General features: G+C 47.1%; 1 protein-coding gene across 4 annotated transcripts in view, besides 1 other annotated feature; it reads left to right on the top strand.

The window, feature by feature from the left end:
* Window positions 1-15,339, top strand: part of TGFA (transforming growth factor alpha) — a 106,543-nt gene that overhangs the window by 30,926 nt on the left and 60,278 nt on the right. For all 4 annotated transcript variants that reach the window (NM_001099691.3, NM_003236.4, NM_001308159.2 and 1 more), the window contains exon 2: window positions 7,989-8,042. In NM_001099691.3, coding sequence (NP_001093161.1) covers window positions 7,989-8,042 — 54 coding nt within the window. The remainder of the gene's footprint in view (window positions 1-7,988; window positions 8,043-15,339) is intronic.
* Window positions 8,125-8,627: an enhancer, noted in NCBI's record as "H3K4me1 hESC enhancer chr2:70741406-70741908 (GRCh37/hg19 assembly coordinates)". NCBI's record gives its function as "activates a minimal SCP1, AML or CMV promoter by ChIP-STARR-seq in naive H9 embryonic stem cells {active_cell/tissue: H9 hESC(naive)}" and the evidence as "EXISTENCE:reporter gene assay evidence [ECO:0000049][PMID:30033119]".

Genomic DNA, 15,339 nt, shown 5'->3' with positions numbered 1-15,339 from the left:
ATTGCTCTCTGCCCAGCACCTAGACAATGTCCCGCTAATGGTGCAGCAGGTGCTCAGTGAGCACTTGTTGAATGAATGAATGTCAGGATTCAAGTGCTCTGTGCAGCAAACCACCATGGCCCACGTCTACTTAAGTAACAAACCTGCACATCCTGCACGTGTACCCCTGAACTTAAAATAAAAGTTGGCTGTGATCCCAGCACTTTGGGAGGTCGAGGCAGGTGGATCACTTAAGGTCGGGAGTTTAAGACCAGCCTGGCCAACATGGTGAAACCTCGTCTGTACCAAAAATATAAAAAATTAGCCGGGTGTGATGACACACACCTGTATCCCAGCTATTCAGGAGGCTGAGGCAGGAGAATTGCTTGAACCTGGGAGGTGGAGGTTGCAGTGAGCTGAGATCATGCCACTGTACTCCAGCCTGGGCAACAGAGTAAGACTCCATCATAAAAAAGTAAATAAATAAAAAATAAAAGTTGGAAATAAAAATTCAAGTGCTCCTCATCTCCACTGAAATTAGAGTAAGAACCAAGACCTAGAGCTGTAGCGGCAGGGATCTAGACTAGAAGTAAAGGAATTCCCGAGGATCTGCAGGTTTTCCCATTCCCCATCTGTACACCCTCACTACTCACTACCCAGCCCCTAGTCCAAGTCTTTGATGAGACTTTAACTCTGTTTTCAAGCTGGTGACCTCTTAGAGAAATTCAGTTCAACATAAATGTATTAAAATCCTATGTAGGTGCGTTAGGCCAGGTGTAAGGATAGAGATGATTTAGCCACAGCTCCTGACCGCACTAGAGAGGAGAGACAGGTAAGATGTAAAAACTTCTGAACTGCAAGGCAGAATAAAGTAAGGATTCCTCTGAGGAAGAAATGATTATTTCTGACATTTGAGCAAGGCTTTGAGAGGCCAATTTGATTCCCATGGGTAGAGGATGGGATATGCCGACTTGAGAGATCAGCATGATGTGAATGAAAACTGTCAATAGGTTCGGTACGGTGGCCTGCGCCTGTAATCCCAGCACTTTGGGAGGCCAAGGCAGGTGAATCATGAAGTCAGGAGTTCAAGACCAGCCTGGCCAATATGGTGAAACCCCGTCTCTACTAAAACTACAAAAATTAGCCAGGCATGGTGGCGCGTGCCTGTGGTCCCAGCTACTCGGGAGGCGGAGGCAGAAGAATCGCTTGAATTCGGAAGGCAGAGGTTGCAGTGAGCCAAGATCGTGCCACTGCACTCCAGCCTAGGAGACAGAGCGAGACTCAAAAAAAAAAAAAAAAAAAAACAAACAAACAACAACAAAAAAAACTATCAATAGTAGCAGCTACCATTTGTTGCATGTTTATTGTGTGTCACTCAATATACCACATTTTTCTCATGTGTCTCTCGTTTAATCTCTAAACAACCCTGTGCAAGAGTTGGATATCTTTATCTGCTTTTACAGTGAAGGAAACTGAGGCTCAGGCAACTAAACTAAAGTCAGCAGCCATAAGAAGTTGGGTGAGGATCCTAGTAGCATGAACCCAAGGCACCAAGTTGGGAGTGCCAATTTTTGTGCAGGGAAAAGGGGCAGTGCTGGGCAGCTGGGGTCAGAGGACCTGACAGGAGGGAATGGGTGGAGTTTAGGTGGAAACGAGGTCTAGGATCAGGTTATGCATGCTAAATCTCTACTCAGGACTTGGGGCTGGGTTCTGTCTCTGCGCTGGGTTCTGTGAGTGGTACAGAGCCCATGGAGAGCTTAGAGGATAGGAGTGATTTCATTCAGCAAGGTCAGTCTAGTAGTAGGAGCAAAGATTTTTTTTTTTAAGCTGTTGGCAAGAAAACCAGTCTAACAACTATTTTGATAGCACAGGGAGAGATGATAGGGCCTGAATTGGGGCAGTAACAGCAGGGATGCAGGGGGATGGATAGGATGGACGGTGTGGAGGCTGGGTGTGTAGGAGGGCTTGGCTTGGATACTGGGTGAAGGAGAGGGAAGGGCTGACAATGACTGCCTAGTTATCAGTCCCGCCCAGAACCAAGGAAGAGGTGGAAGACATGAGTTCAATTTTGAACACATGATCTGGGGTACAGGCCTTGTGGAGAGTGGTGGAGGTTGGAGATAGTGTTTGGGCATGGAAGCAGGGGAAGCATCTATGGGAATATAGGGTCGGTCCGGTGCCTTGGTGGGCTGTAGTGATAACTTCAACAGCCTACACTTGTCTGCCTTTGTTGAAGTAGGGAGGATTCCATTTTTCTCGGGTAGTTGCTGTCCCACGTGACTTGAACATTTTAAGGGAAAGTCAAAGGTCTCAGATTTCTCTTTTTTTACTTAATTTGCTCACAGTATGTAGGTGCTAAATAAATATTTGATTAGTTAACATAAGTAAATAACAATTTTTTTTTTTTGGAGTGGGAGTCTCGCTCTGTCACCCAGGCTGGAGTGCAGTGGCACAATCTTGGCTCCCTGCAATCTCCGCCTCCCAGGTTCAAACAATTCTCCTCCTCTGCCTCCCAAGTAGCTGGTATTACAGATGCCCACCACCACACCCAGCTGATTTTTGTATTTTTAGTGGAGTCCGGGTTTCACAATTTTGACTATTTAAACCCTCAAAAGGCGTAAAAGGCATGCTATTTCAAGATCAGTCCATGGAACATCAGTAGCCTGCAGCTGGGCGACCCCGGGGCCTCAAGTAAAACCCTTCGTTGAAGTTCCCTTAGTGATTTCCAAAGGGAGGAGGGTCATGACCACCTCCTCATCATCCTGAACTTCCTGGAAGTTATGATGAAACAGGACCAACATGAAGCCCCATCAAGTGCTGTGTTCAGTGGGTGCTCATGGTGACTTATGGACCTCATGTACTCTATTTCATTTTGTTTCACTTAATCCTTGCAAGTCCCATGAAGGGCTGTTATCCTTGTTTTATGGATGAGCACACCAAGCCTTAGCAAGGGTACATAATAGAGCCAAGATCTCACAGTGAAGGAGTGGCAGAGCCAGGATTTGCACCCAGGCCTGATGGCAAAGCCCCTTTCTGCTGTGCTGTGACAGGCTAGAAAGTGGTAGGGGGTTGTGGTGCAGGCACCCATCTGCCCATCTCTCTTGCCTCCCTGATCCTGAAGATTCATTCTGAATACTTTGTTTTTTGCTATTGTCAGATATGTTTAGATGGATATGGAAAATTCCTATGAGCTTTCAGGTAATGCTGGATCATTTCCTGTGATGTCATAATCATGAAGTATTTCCCGAGATTTTTCTAGTTGGAACTTGCTGCTGTCCAATGGAGATGCCACATGGCTACTTTTGACCTTAATATCCCAATGAGTTTATGGATAGTCCATGGTACGCTCATCCTACCAGCCTTGCTCATAGTCCTCCTCTGCAGGGCCTTCCCTTTTTCCTTCTTAATCAGTTCTTACCCTGAAGCCAGCATCCTCACCTGGCTGTCAACCTCTTGGATTTAAAAATATTGATGAAATCATACAATTTAGTGATTTTTGCTACGCAGTTAAAATCCTGCCATGCTTGCAAATAAAATTTGAATGTTGGGATATAATTCATAAGGGAAGATGCCATGAACCTATACTATCTGGCCCTGGGTTCTGTGTGGCCCATTTCTTTATATATTTATGCCTACATGGGAGCCTTTGCAGACCTCTCCCTGAGCAGCAGGATTCCCACCGTCTACGTACCACTAACTACTTCCTGTTCCTTAGGACCTGCCAGGTCTAAGAATGGTAGGGGAGGAAGGGGGAAACCTGCTGCCCTCTGAATACCCACACTCCCTTCTGCCCTGCCCTCTAGCACAATTCCTATCCTCCCGCCCTGAGCGTGTTCTTCATCCAAAGGCCTTTCCTCACCACCTCGTCTGAATCCAGAACATCCTTCATCCAAAAGGACCTGCTGCAGCCTCTTCATCCTCCCACATCCCCCTGAAAACAAAAACTTACCCTTCATCCCTTCATGCAGGAAGTCTGGCTTAGAGGATCCCAAACAGGTGAAAGGTAGAGCTCTTGATATTCTAGAGGGAGCAACTGATCCATGCAGTGGAGTACATAGGGGCCTGAAAGCAAACCCCAGCCCCAGCAGAGGCCAGAGCAGGACATGGTCCACTCTGCTGAGGTGGTCAGGGGCCAGAGGATGCTCCTCCCAGCTCCAGGCACTATAGCTGAGTGTCCACAGAAGAGGTGGTCACCAGGCCAATGGGTGGTTGATGATGAAGGGTGTCTGACGCTGAAGGCACAGCCTGGGTATCTGTGCAGAATTGCTAGTCCCATGCCTGATTGAGGAGTTGGAGTGGGGGTATCCTGCTCTGGGGCCCAGGGGAGAGGGGTGTCCAGCCTCTCTTAAGAGCATTTCCCATTGACACATCAGCACATAGGTTTTGGGATGGCTCCACTTCTGGGGACTCATGAGCTAAATGGGTGAGCCTCCTTTTTACCTTGTTTCTGTTGGGAACATTTACCTGAGTACCAAACAGCTGAACGATAAGCATGGCAACACTTGTCCTTCCTAAGGGCAGACCAGGTTCCCACTCTATTTTGAGGGACACAGGATCAGCCTTTCATAAGGGTTTTCTTCCGTTGCATGTGGTTTTCCCCTTGATACCACCCCCTTCTTTTCTTTTTTCTTTTTGAAGTCCACAGTCTTGGGATTTCCCTCTTTGGAGCTATTTAAACAGAAATAGGATGCCAGCAGGAGTGGCCTAGAAGGGATTCCTAGAAGCCTTCCTGTCCCGAGGGCCTGCGGCGGGCAAGGACCTGCTTTGAAACTTAGGCAGGAGGAGCCTGTGGCTGTGGGCCACCAGGCCTGTGCACTGTGTGTCTCCCTGAGCCACTGCATGTGGCTGCGGTGCCTGTGGCTGTCCTCTCCCCATCCTTCCTTTGTTTGGAGTGACCCTTGGAGCCTGCCAAGGCCACATGTTTCTGGAAGGTCCTCACACAGCCTGGCTTTCTAAGCACAGTCGTGTGGCCAGAGGGCTGGGCAGCTGGTGAGCCTGGGTGCTCATACCTTTGCCCCTCATTAGACCTTGTTCATGGCAGGGAGACTGGAGGCAGTGGGAGAATCCCCAAGAGGCAATGCATGACTCTCAGGGAGAGACGGATCAAGGCTCAGCCGCTGGGCCTGCAGAGTCTGTTGTTTGGACTAACTTGGGGTTTGTGACTGCTGAATACACACCTGTGTCACAACTGGCCATGGTGAGAAGGACTGTGGTGTGGTCTGGTAATTAGACACTGTCTTGTGCATGGGAGTTGGAGACACTTGAGTTTGAATGTGGCTGCAGGAGCTTGGGCAAATTTCTTAACCTCTCTAAGCCTCAGTTTCTTCATCTCTATGACTGGGCATTTCTACCAGCTGGACCAGAAGGTTGGGAGGCACCTATGTCATGAGTTGTTATAAGGACTAAGTAAGAGAACACATGCAGAACATTAGCACTGGGCCTGGGACTAGGTCATGCCCAAAAAGTGGTACACATCCACCTGCAAAGTGAGAGACCTGAGCCCTGTCCTCCTGCTCCAGGGTCCTCTTAGGTTCACCACATGATGAAGACAAAGCAGAGGCCTTGCCGCTCATCACAGGGCCTCAGCTGATGCTAGGCATGGATCAAGATTGCAGAGTGAAGCCCAGGGCACCAAGAAGTTGTTTTCCGTGAGGGTATAGAAAGGACCTATTCTTCTTGTGTTGCTCAAATTATGAATAAAAAGCCAGTGTCTTTCATCTGTGGAACATCGTGGTTTTGCAAACTTTAATTCATTCCCAAAACACCTCTGTGAGTTTAGCAGCTGCGAGCTCACAGGTGAGGAACAGAAGGTGAAGTAATTTGCCCCAAGGCTGGGGAGCAGGCCCCCATTGCACACCCTCATCTTCCTGGAGCAGTGGTGCTCATCAGTGTCTTGTCCTGGATTCAGCTGTACAGTGTTTGCTTTCTTGTCTGGGTTTTGCTTAAACAGAGGCCAACATGGAGCCCAGGAACCATGCTGACTGGGTTCACCCTGACTGACAGGATAGGGAGCAGGAACAGGGCATGAAGATAATTCTTTAGTTCGGGGCAGTTTGTGACAGGCAAGTCACGCTTCCCCTCAGAGTATGCAAAGCATCCCCGGTGTCATCCTTGAACACTATTATGAGTCACTGGCTGACTTTAGCCAAGGATGGTTTGTGGCAGTGCCAGCGAAGTCAGAACATGACTGTTCCCCAGCTTCAAGGGGGCAACTGCTGACTTTTCCCGGCTTGGATGGGGATGCCTTGTTTTAACACTGGTGTGTGGGTGACAGAGGGGCCCTGGGAGCCTTGCTTCCAAAATTAGCATCAATTGGACAGCAAGAAAGAATTGCACAGGGAAGACATGCATGATTTTACTGATTTTCTCTCCCTGTCCCCCTGCCCTGCCTCCAACTCCAGCCCAAACATCTGGCTTAGGATTCTGTAAAAGTCTTTCGGAGGTCCATGCCAGACCTCCAGTAAAAGCAGTCTGAAGTTCTTATGTTTCTCATTTCAGAGGTTGGAAGGAACATCGGGAGCATGATTGCTTTATCTATTCCAAGTGTGTTTTGTTCTTTGAGAGTCAGGACTTCTGTGTCTACACCCTAAGTGAAAAGGGGCAAGGAACCCTCACAGCCTGCAGAGTAGGGGGCTGCATCGATCCTGTAACAGACAGAACTTTGCTTGTTTCCTGTGCTAACTTGATTCATTTGCTTTCTGAGCTAACCTGTCAGAGGCCCAGCCCCTCGGCACAGCAACTGTGGCATCTTTTTGCGTTTCAGTTTTGGGAAGTCATTCTAATGTGGCTCATGCTGATTGCATAACTCAGAAGAGGTTCCTTCTTCATTGGAAGGTTGCTACCATTTCCAGAAACCTCGAGTACTGTAATCTGAAGGCACATAAAGGTCATCTGTTGGCAGGGCTGGTTTTATGGGCATGCAACCTGTATAGGTCACACAGGACCCCATGCTCACAAGGGCCCTGAGCTTGAGGTTTAACACTCTGCAGTTGCAGTCTTAAAAATCTTGTAGTTTTATCTTTAAATTTGCGTCTTGTAGGTGAAGTCCAGTGGGACAATACAGTATGCACTGGGGGCTTAGAGGCTTTGTTCCCGTGGTCCTGCTTATTAATATCTCCCTGCCTCCCCTAGGTTTTCTTGCTCCTGCCATGATCTATCCCTGGCAGGGCCTGGGGTTAAGTACATGGCATCTCAGGGTACGGCATGGTGGCAGCTGTCCCCATTCTGGACTGGCAGCTCCATGGCATCTTCAGTGGGCAACTAGAGAGGGGTGAGCTGCTTGACTCCCCCTGATCCAGGTACCTAGTACATCCTGGCAGGGAGGAGGCAATATCCTTAAGGGGTCACCCATCCATCTTGGGTTGGGACAGCCACTTCCTGGGAATAAGAGATACCTGACTAGACCCCTCAACCCCCAGCTGGGTCACAGCACATTGGCCCGGCTGCCAGCTGGAAGGAAACCCCAGAGGGAGTGGGTCCTTTGCTCCCTTACACACTCTGTCCCTGGGGTATACCTGTGAGAGGCTGCACTCAACCTGTGGGTATCCTCATACCCAAAGGACAGCAATGACATAAATAGCAAACAAACATGATGACATGAACAACAGGGTGAAGGTACTTAATGTCACTGAAATGTACAATTAAAATGGTTGAAATGGTAAATTTTATGTTACGTATATTTTCCCACCATAAAAAAATATATATTTATAAGGTGTTAAGAAAAAACAAAGGCCAAAACCACCCTGACAGATGGAGAGAGAGACTGGGAAGAAGTGGAAGGCTCTGGATTTCAGTGCTTTTCATGGGCATTTTCTTCTTACTTTTTCAACAAGGGGTCCCATGTGCTCATTTTGCACTGATATCCACAAATTATGTAGCTGAGCCTGTCTACCGGCCACTCTGTGAAACTACCGAACCTTTGCCTGTCAAAGGGCCTGCCCTCTAAGCGTCTGAGGACATCATTTGCCAAGCAGACTCTGACCTTTTCCCTCTTCTCCTCCACCCAACAGGTATTGTGTTGGCTGCGTGCCAGGCCTTGGAGAACAGCACGTCCCCGCTGAGTGGTGAGTGCAGCTGCCGTGGGTGTGTGGATCGTGTGTGGGAAGGGAGCGGGCCTGCTGCTGTGTGGCTCCTCAAGAGCTCCCTCCCTGGCCTCCTGCCCACCGAGCACACGCCTGTCCCGGAGTCCTCTCTGCCCCCTCCTCAGGGGCGAGGAGGCGCTCACTGGAAGGTCTTAACTGCAGGCCCAAGGGGGGGCTGTTCCTGGCCCCCTCAGGGGCCTCCCCTACGTGTCTCTCTTCAGCTGTTCAGACAATTCCTGTGGGCAAGTGTGCCAAAACAGGGCCTGCAGGACCCCAGAGCTTGGGGCCAGCTGTTTTCCCCACTCTCGTAATAGTCCACCTGAAGTAGAACCCAGATTTCTGAACCCTCATCGGTGACCTTTGTTTAGTTATTTTCTGGTTTACGTTTTAATACTTATAGTAAAAAAAAAAAAAAAATCGGTATTTTTTTTTATTATTATTTTAAAGATTCTAAATCAAAATAGTGGAGAGCTTGGGACATGTAGGAGGCAAACCATCAGTGGCCACAGCACTGCAGGGGAGCAACCTCTGTTTGATTTGCATGTTGCTTTTGCCCTTTCTCCATGTGTGTTAATATTTTTATACGAGTAGTCCTGGTGAGGAAACAATGTGGATTCCTGCTTTTTAAGCTCAAATGTTGGGGCTGTGCATTGTTCCATGTTGCTGGAAAGTCTTGAAATCTCTTCTCTTAAAATGTCATGCTGTCTCATTAAAGTGAACATGGGTGATTTAATGAAACATTTCCCATTGGATATTTACGGTGGCTCTAGTTTCTTAAGTTATGATGCTACCTCTTCATGCCTAGAAGCTTTTTCCACCTTTTGGATTCTTTCCTCAGCATGTGTCTCCGGAAACAGGAATAAATACAGATTTATGACCCTTGGTACAAACTGCCAGATAGCTTTCCGAGTGAATGGTGCTGATTTCTCCCAGCAGTGTGTGAGTGCACCAGTCCCACAACTCCCTGGTTAGCACAGAGTGTGTTTCAGTAACTTCTGCTCCCATCTGTTACTGCACTAGCCTCCTGCTGTGTCTCCATAGTTATTTCAGAGAGGTTCCAGTGGGAGGGGGCGGGTTTCTTACCTATTCATAAATTCTGTAGCCAACCACACCGTGTCCCTGGTCTCTTCTCCTCCTTCAGGCCTTTCCCTCCAAACCCACTGGAGGCGACACTGCCAGTCCCACTGGGTACCACTGCTCCTGCAGCCCCACCAGTCCCCCTTGCTACTGTTATCCTTGATGCGCTTGGACCCTTAAGGTGCCTAAGCCACTTGGTGGTCCATGATGACACAGAAGAAAATGCCTGTCCCACTCTGTGTCGTGCTTTGTTGGGGCTGGAAGTGGAAAGGTGTAAGTGTGTCCACCTCAAAACAGTGCATCTGGAGTCCAGGGTCTACTAGGGTTTCCATAAAGCAGTACTTTCACTTTTTAATTACCTCCCATCCACAAAGGACTCAGATATGAACATATAGGGAGGAAAAAGAGGATAGCTTAGTAACTTCACCATGCCATTCTCAGAATTGCCCCAACCCCCTTTCTAGAATGCACTTGCCCCAAGCTTCACCTTCTGCCCCTCCTACAGATAGACCTCTGGTGACCTGCCCAAACACTAGAAAGTACTGATACTCTAGCAACACTTACGCACTGGGTATCATTTGAGAGAACCTGGACACTGGGCCAGTTGGGGGTTACCACTCATTTTGATACTTGTCACTATGATCTCCACGCATCTCCATGGGCTAAGAAGCCTCCTGTGTTTTCCTCACCCTCCCTGTTCTCTTCTAAGCCAAATTGGGTAGAACTGAGGTATAAAGGCCTTGAGATTAAGCCAGAAGGGGGAGATGGAGTCCTGTGCCCCAGGCCTCTATCCCTAGTTTCCCGGCTCTCTGGTGAAGCCTTCCTCCTGCTCCTCCTGATTCACACTCTAAGACCTGGTAGGCCAAGAGCCATGTTCTCCACTGAATCAGGTGACAAGTTGCAATGATGGCAAGTGCTGACACTGCCATGCATAGAGAAGGGGGTCCTCTTGGTTATTTGACCCCCTCCTCCAAGTCTCCATCCATTCAGACAGACAAGAAAACCCTAAGGGATGTCGCCCTGGAGCCTGTTCCCCAGGAGCCTGGCATAACTCCTGCCTAGGCCTTTTGGGGTTCCCTAGGCCCTGCTGGGCAGATGTGGGCAGACCTGATAAATTTGTCCAGAAGGGGACTATTCTTTTTGCAGTCGTGAACAACCTCTGTTCCATCTTTTCTTCCTGAACTTTCTATGAGAACATCTCTGAGGTTTACTTCCCCTCATTGTGACATGTGGTCAGAAAACAGCAGTTGAACCCCTGCTGCGTTGCATATTACCCTGTAACCAGCTCAGTGCCACTCGGGGGCCTGAGGTGGTCTGTGAGAGCAGAGGCAGTGCCACACCTTCTAAAGTCCAGAGAGCCTCAAGCCCCCCGGGTTGGCTGCCAGTCTGCAGAGGAGGGAGGTGGCTGCCCGTCTGCCCTCTCTGTTGCTCTCTGTTTGATGGGTCACTGAGCTACAGAACTTGCACCCCAGGGCCTTAGAGATTTAATGAAATTACTCTTTCCAGAGTTATTTACTCTTGGCCCTGCCCCATGAGACCCAGACATGAATCCAGAGAGGGCTGGGCCAGGAGAAAAGTCCAAGTGGTGATGACCGTGTTATAGTCACACCTCCAAAGGCTGGGGCTTTATGACTAGATCAGGCTTATGCTTAACTTTCTTTCCTTTAGGGTGTCCTTCCTGTCCCCTAGAGGACTGCTCAGGCCCTGGTAGGCCTTCCCACCCCATCCCACCCACTCTCTCATCACCGCACAGGGCTGAAATCCTGTGGTGGGCGCAGCTCAAACTGGGGACCAACTCCCACCAGCCACACTCACTGCCCGTCATTGTAGCAAGTGTGTGTGTGTGTGTGTGTGTGTGTGTGTGTGTGTGTGTATTCATGACTAATAAGTAAAACTCTCTGTTAACATTGTATTAGAGAAACCTTCATCCACAGAAGAAGAGATAGTGAAATCAGTTCCTGTATACCCATCACCCAGCTTTGACAATTAGCATCATTCTGTCATTTTTCTTTGATCTATTCTCCCTATCTTTCTAATTTCTCCCTGTGCCGGGGTATTTTAAAGCAAAGCCCACTTCACTCGTAACACTTCAATGCGTATACGTAACAGATAAAGCCTTTTAAAACGTCACCACAATTCCATTACTGCACCAGAAAGGCAATGATGATTCCTTTTTGTTAGATCCTCAGATATGGAAGGTAGATGATGCTGTATTTAATTTTGTGCTACTTCGTTTTAATTTGCATTTACTTTCATGTTTTTGTATCTTGCATTCTACTTATATTTCTTTTCAGGTGAACACTGTTTTCATAAAATGTATTCATGTCTCTGCTGAGTGACTTTCACATCTGAGTGCCCCTAACTCCCAATGCTCTGGATGCTGGTGGGCTCCTTTACTCAATCCCAGAATCAATCCAGAAACAAACCATCCAGAAAAATGTAAATGGTGTGAAACCATCCCCACCAGTTAGGTGTGAAAATGGGTAATTTTAGAACAAAAGCTATAAGGACTTTACCCATGATGTAAATTTGCAGGCCTTCTCACTGTAAGAGTTGATGGGAATGAGAAATAATAACGGATGCAAGATAGGTTTTGATACATTCCTGAGTGACAGCACTAGAGCATAGGGCAACAGGAGTACTCAGGGTGAAGCCGACACACTTTAATGGAACATTGTGGAGAGAAAATTGCAAACTCCATGTGCTAATCAAAGGTGTTAAATGGGCTCAAAAGAGCATGGGGCTTATCTCATGTGGCTTTCTTGTGCATTTTTTTTCTTTTATTTTTAGAAATGAGATCTTGCTATGTTGCCCAGGCTGGTCTCAAATTCCTGGACTCCAGCAGTCCTCCCACTTTGGCCTCCCAAAGTGCTGGGATTACAAGCATGAGTCACCACGCCTGGCCTTTCTTGTGCATTTTGGGGAAAAAAAAAGTTCTGTGTTCTTATAACTTGACCATTGCTCTTGGCCTTTCTTCTTGACATTTCATTGGTTTCTTCCTGTCTTCATTTCTCTTAGATCCCCAAATATAAAGGGCAGATGATGCCAGCGTCATAGGAAACTGGCATTGTCATTAGTAAACGCTTCTCAGACAATTTGAGTGGGACAGCAGAGGGATGTGGTGACTGAGGCTGGAGGTGAGAGATCATGGGTTTTGGGCCATTTGGTCTCAGTTTTTTCTGAGTTTTCTGAGGGTTTTTTTGAGTTTTTTTGTCCAGTCACTGGGCAAGTTAGTTTTCTGGTTCCTGTTTGGATTTGTTTCCTCATCTATTGGACTTGAATCAGAAGTGGCCTGTGAGGTTTTTCACATGACCACACACTGATGGATTGGTAGAGATGACTTGGAGAGCCAGGGTGGGGAGGGTTATAAGGCTGACTGCAGGTTTTAGGAAGTACTGCACTGATCCATTGGTGATGCTAATTGTCATAGGCCCAAGGTAGGGAAGTGGTAGTGTCACTGACACGTATTTGATTTTCTTGGAACTAGATGCTTTTTTACATTCAGGTTCAAAGATTCTAGTTGCTGGAACTATACAAAGGAGCAGGCTTTCTCTGCCTTGTCCTCAAGGAGCCTCCCATGCAGGTGAGAAAAGACAGCATGGGAACCCGTGGGGGAATGTGTCACAATGATACGGGCAAACTTGGCTGACTGCTTAATGCATGATTTAGAAAATAGTTGCCATGGGAGTGAAATCAATAGCATGGTTGGGGACAGAGTATTTTTATCAGGTTGGTTGTCAATTTGTAAAGCATGCAGAGAAACATTAGCTGGAGGCAGGACGAGGGTGGCAGCACCTATAGCTTAGAACACCTGTCACACCCTCTCCAGGAAGGAGTTATGACCTATCTTCAAAAGACACTTTTAAATGCCCCTTAAGAGGGACAGAATGCACCCTGGTTAAGAAGTTGTTGGGTGGCTACTTGCTTAACCCTGAGAAATGTTGCACAGTTCCCAGGCTGCCCATCTGGTTCTCATATTTCCATGAGACTCACTCTAATGACCAAGGGGGTGTGGTGAGGGCATTACTCAGGCGCCCGGGAACCAGCCTCCAGGCTTCCATCTGCTATCTGCCTTGCATGAGCTGGGTACTCAGGGCGGCACTTTAAACCTCTGAACTTCTGCTCCTTCCTCTGGCCTGTGTCTAGGGACACCCACCTGGAATCAAGGCATGTTTGAAGGCTTGCTTAATTTAGTGTCTGGGAGGCTTCTCAGAGGTGAGGATGAAAGAACATGGAAATTTACAGTGCGATTATTCATGGGGAATGTCACCATTATCAGCTGGCTTAGGGAGATGGTGATCAGATCTCAGTGGTGACCCTGGGCTTAAATACGTTTAGGTGGCAAGTTTGAGCTGGGGGTGCACAGAAGGAAGGCAGATGAGATTATAGGGAAAAGCCTTTGAAGGCTTTACTTGTTTGGAAAACAGGTAGAACGTGTGTCAGCCAGCAAGCAAGCAATCTGGTTATTGCTCATCTCGCCTAACAAAAGCTTTTCAGAACTGCAAACTGCTTCCCCGTTCCATTGTCTAGAGTTTTCCCACATGGAGCTGAAGTCATTCTAAAATTAGAAGGCTCATGTTTTCTACCCAGGTACTACATGGCTCACCTGCTCCAAATATGTGTCTATAATACAAGACACTTGGTATGTCTCAGTTTGGGGATAAAACCACATACACTCATTTGTGTTTACTTTAAAGAATGCTTAGAAGAGCATTAGGAGGGAATGAGGGATTCTTCCTTTCCTCTCCAAGATTTATCCTTGTCATCCACATTCTCATTTCACCTTCTACTTTTTTTGCAAAGGAAATTGTGCTGGGTCAGTGCTTTTTGAGCAAAAGCTGCTCAGGGTAGTAGACAGAACACAGGATATGCAGTCCAGAATCGTAATTCTGACTCACTGGCTGCAACACCTTAACAGACCTCTTAAATCTTCTTGAACCTCCGTTCTGCCATCAATAAAATGAAGGAGTGGAATGAAGTCAATGTCTTTTCAAACTGAGTTGCAGAATCACTTTACGGGTCATAATCAACATTTTTAAAAGTGGAATTGAATAGTTTAGAGAATTTCAGAGTGCATCACATGGAGGAAGGACAGGTACCATTTCATGACTCTTGTTTTAGTTATTAATAGATTCATATATTGGCATTCTGCATCACTTTACTTGCATGAATTACACCCATATCACTTCTTCTATAATTTCCAGATTTGATTTATTCATAAATAAGAGCTTAGACACTTGCAGAGTAAGTGCCATAAATCTTTCTAGACCTATAACATTCCCCCCCTTCACCTCCCTAGTTTTTTGTTTGTTTGTTTTGAGATGGAGTTTTGCTCTTGTCACCCAGGCTAGCGTGCAATGGTGCAATCTTGGCTCACTGCAACCTCTGCCTCCCAGATTCAAGCGATTCTCCTGCCTCAGCCTCCCCAGTAGCTGGGATTACAGGCACCGGCTACCACGCCCAGCTAATTTTTGTATTTTTAGTGGAGACAGGGTTTCGCCGTGTAGGCCAGGCTGGTCTCAAACTCCTGACCTCAAATGATCCACCCGCCTCAGCGTCCCAAAGTGCTGGGTTTACAGGCATGAGCCACCATGCCCAGCCCTCCTAGTCTTTTATAGTTGTCTTATCCACCCTAACTTAGCAGCAGTTCGTCTTCATTTTTCCAAAACTCTCTACTTATAGAAACAACAGCTCTTTTCTTATGCACAGGTATTTCATTAATTTACATAATATGTAATTAAGTTACATAAGTGCAATAATGAGTACAGCTGACATAAACAGGTTTGGCAACAAATGCAAATGGCCTCTTGGTAAATATATAGCCTAACTGTTGAGAACAGAAATAGGTTGATAAACTAGAGTAGCCAACTGAGGTTTTGCATGCTGAGGGCATTGGTCTAGATGCTTTAGCAAAGAAATGGAGAGTATGGGGTTAGGTAAATCAGGGCCTTGGTTTAAGTGGAGCTCAGTTAATAGCGCATCTACCATCTTCAAAAGAGGCAAGGCAAATGACAAAACTAATGGATGTGAATATGGACATAACCTCCTGAGAAATAGCTTAACATTAATAGCGAACCGAATTCCTTAGTATTAGTAAGTGAAAACTTAAAAATTGTATATGCCCTGTGACCCAACTATCGTACTTAGGGATCTGTTTTACAGAACAATCAGATGTTAGGTTATTATCCAGTAGAGTGAAAAG

Source organism: Homo sapiens, chromosome 2 (assembly GCF_000001405.40).
Source record: "Homo sapiens chromosome 2, GRCh38.p14 Primary Assembly".
NCBI classification, from domain to species: Eukaryota; Metazoa; Chordata; class Mammalia; order Primates; family Hominidae; genus Homo; species Homo sapiens.
This window is presented reverse-complemented; position numbering and strand designations above follow the sequence as displayed.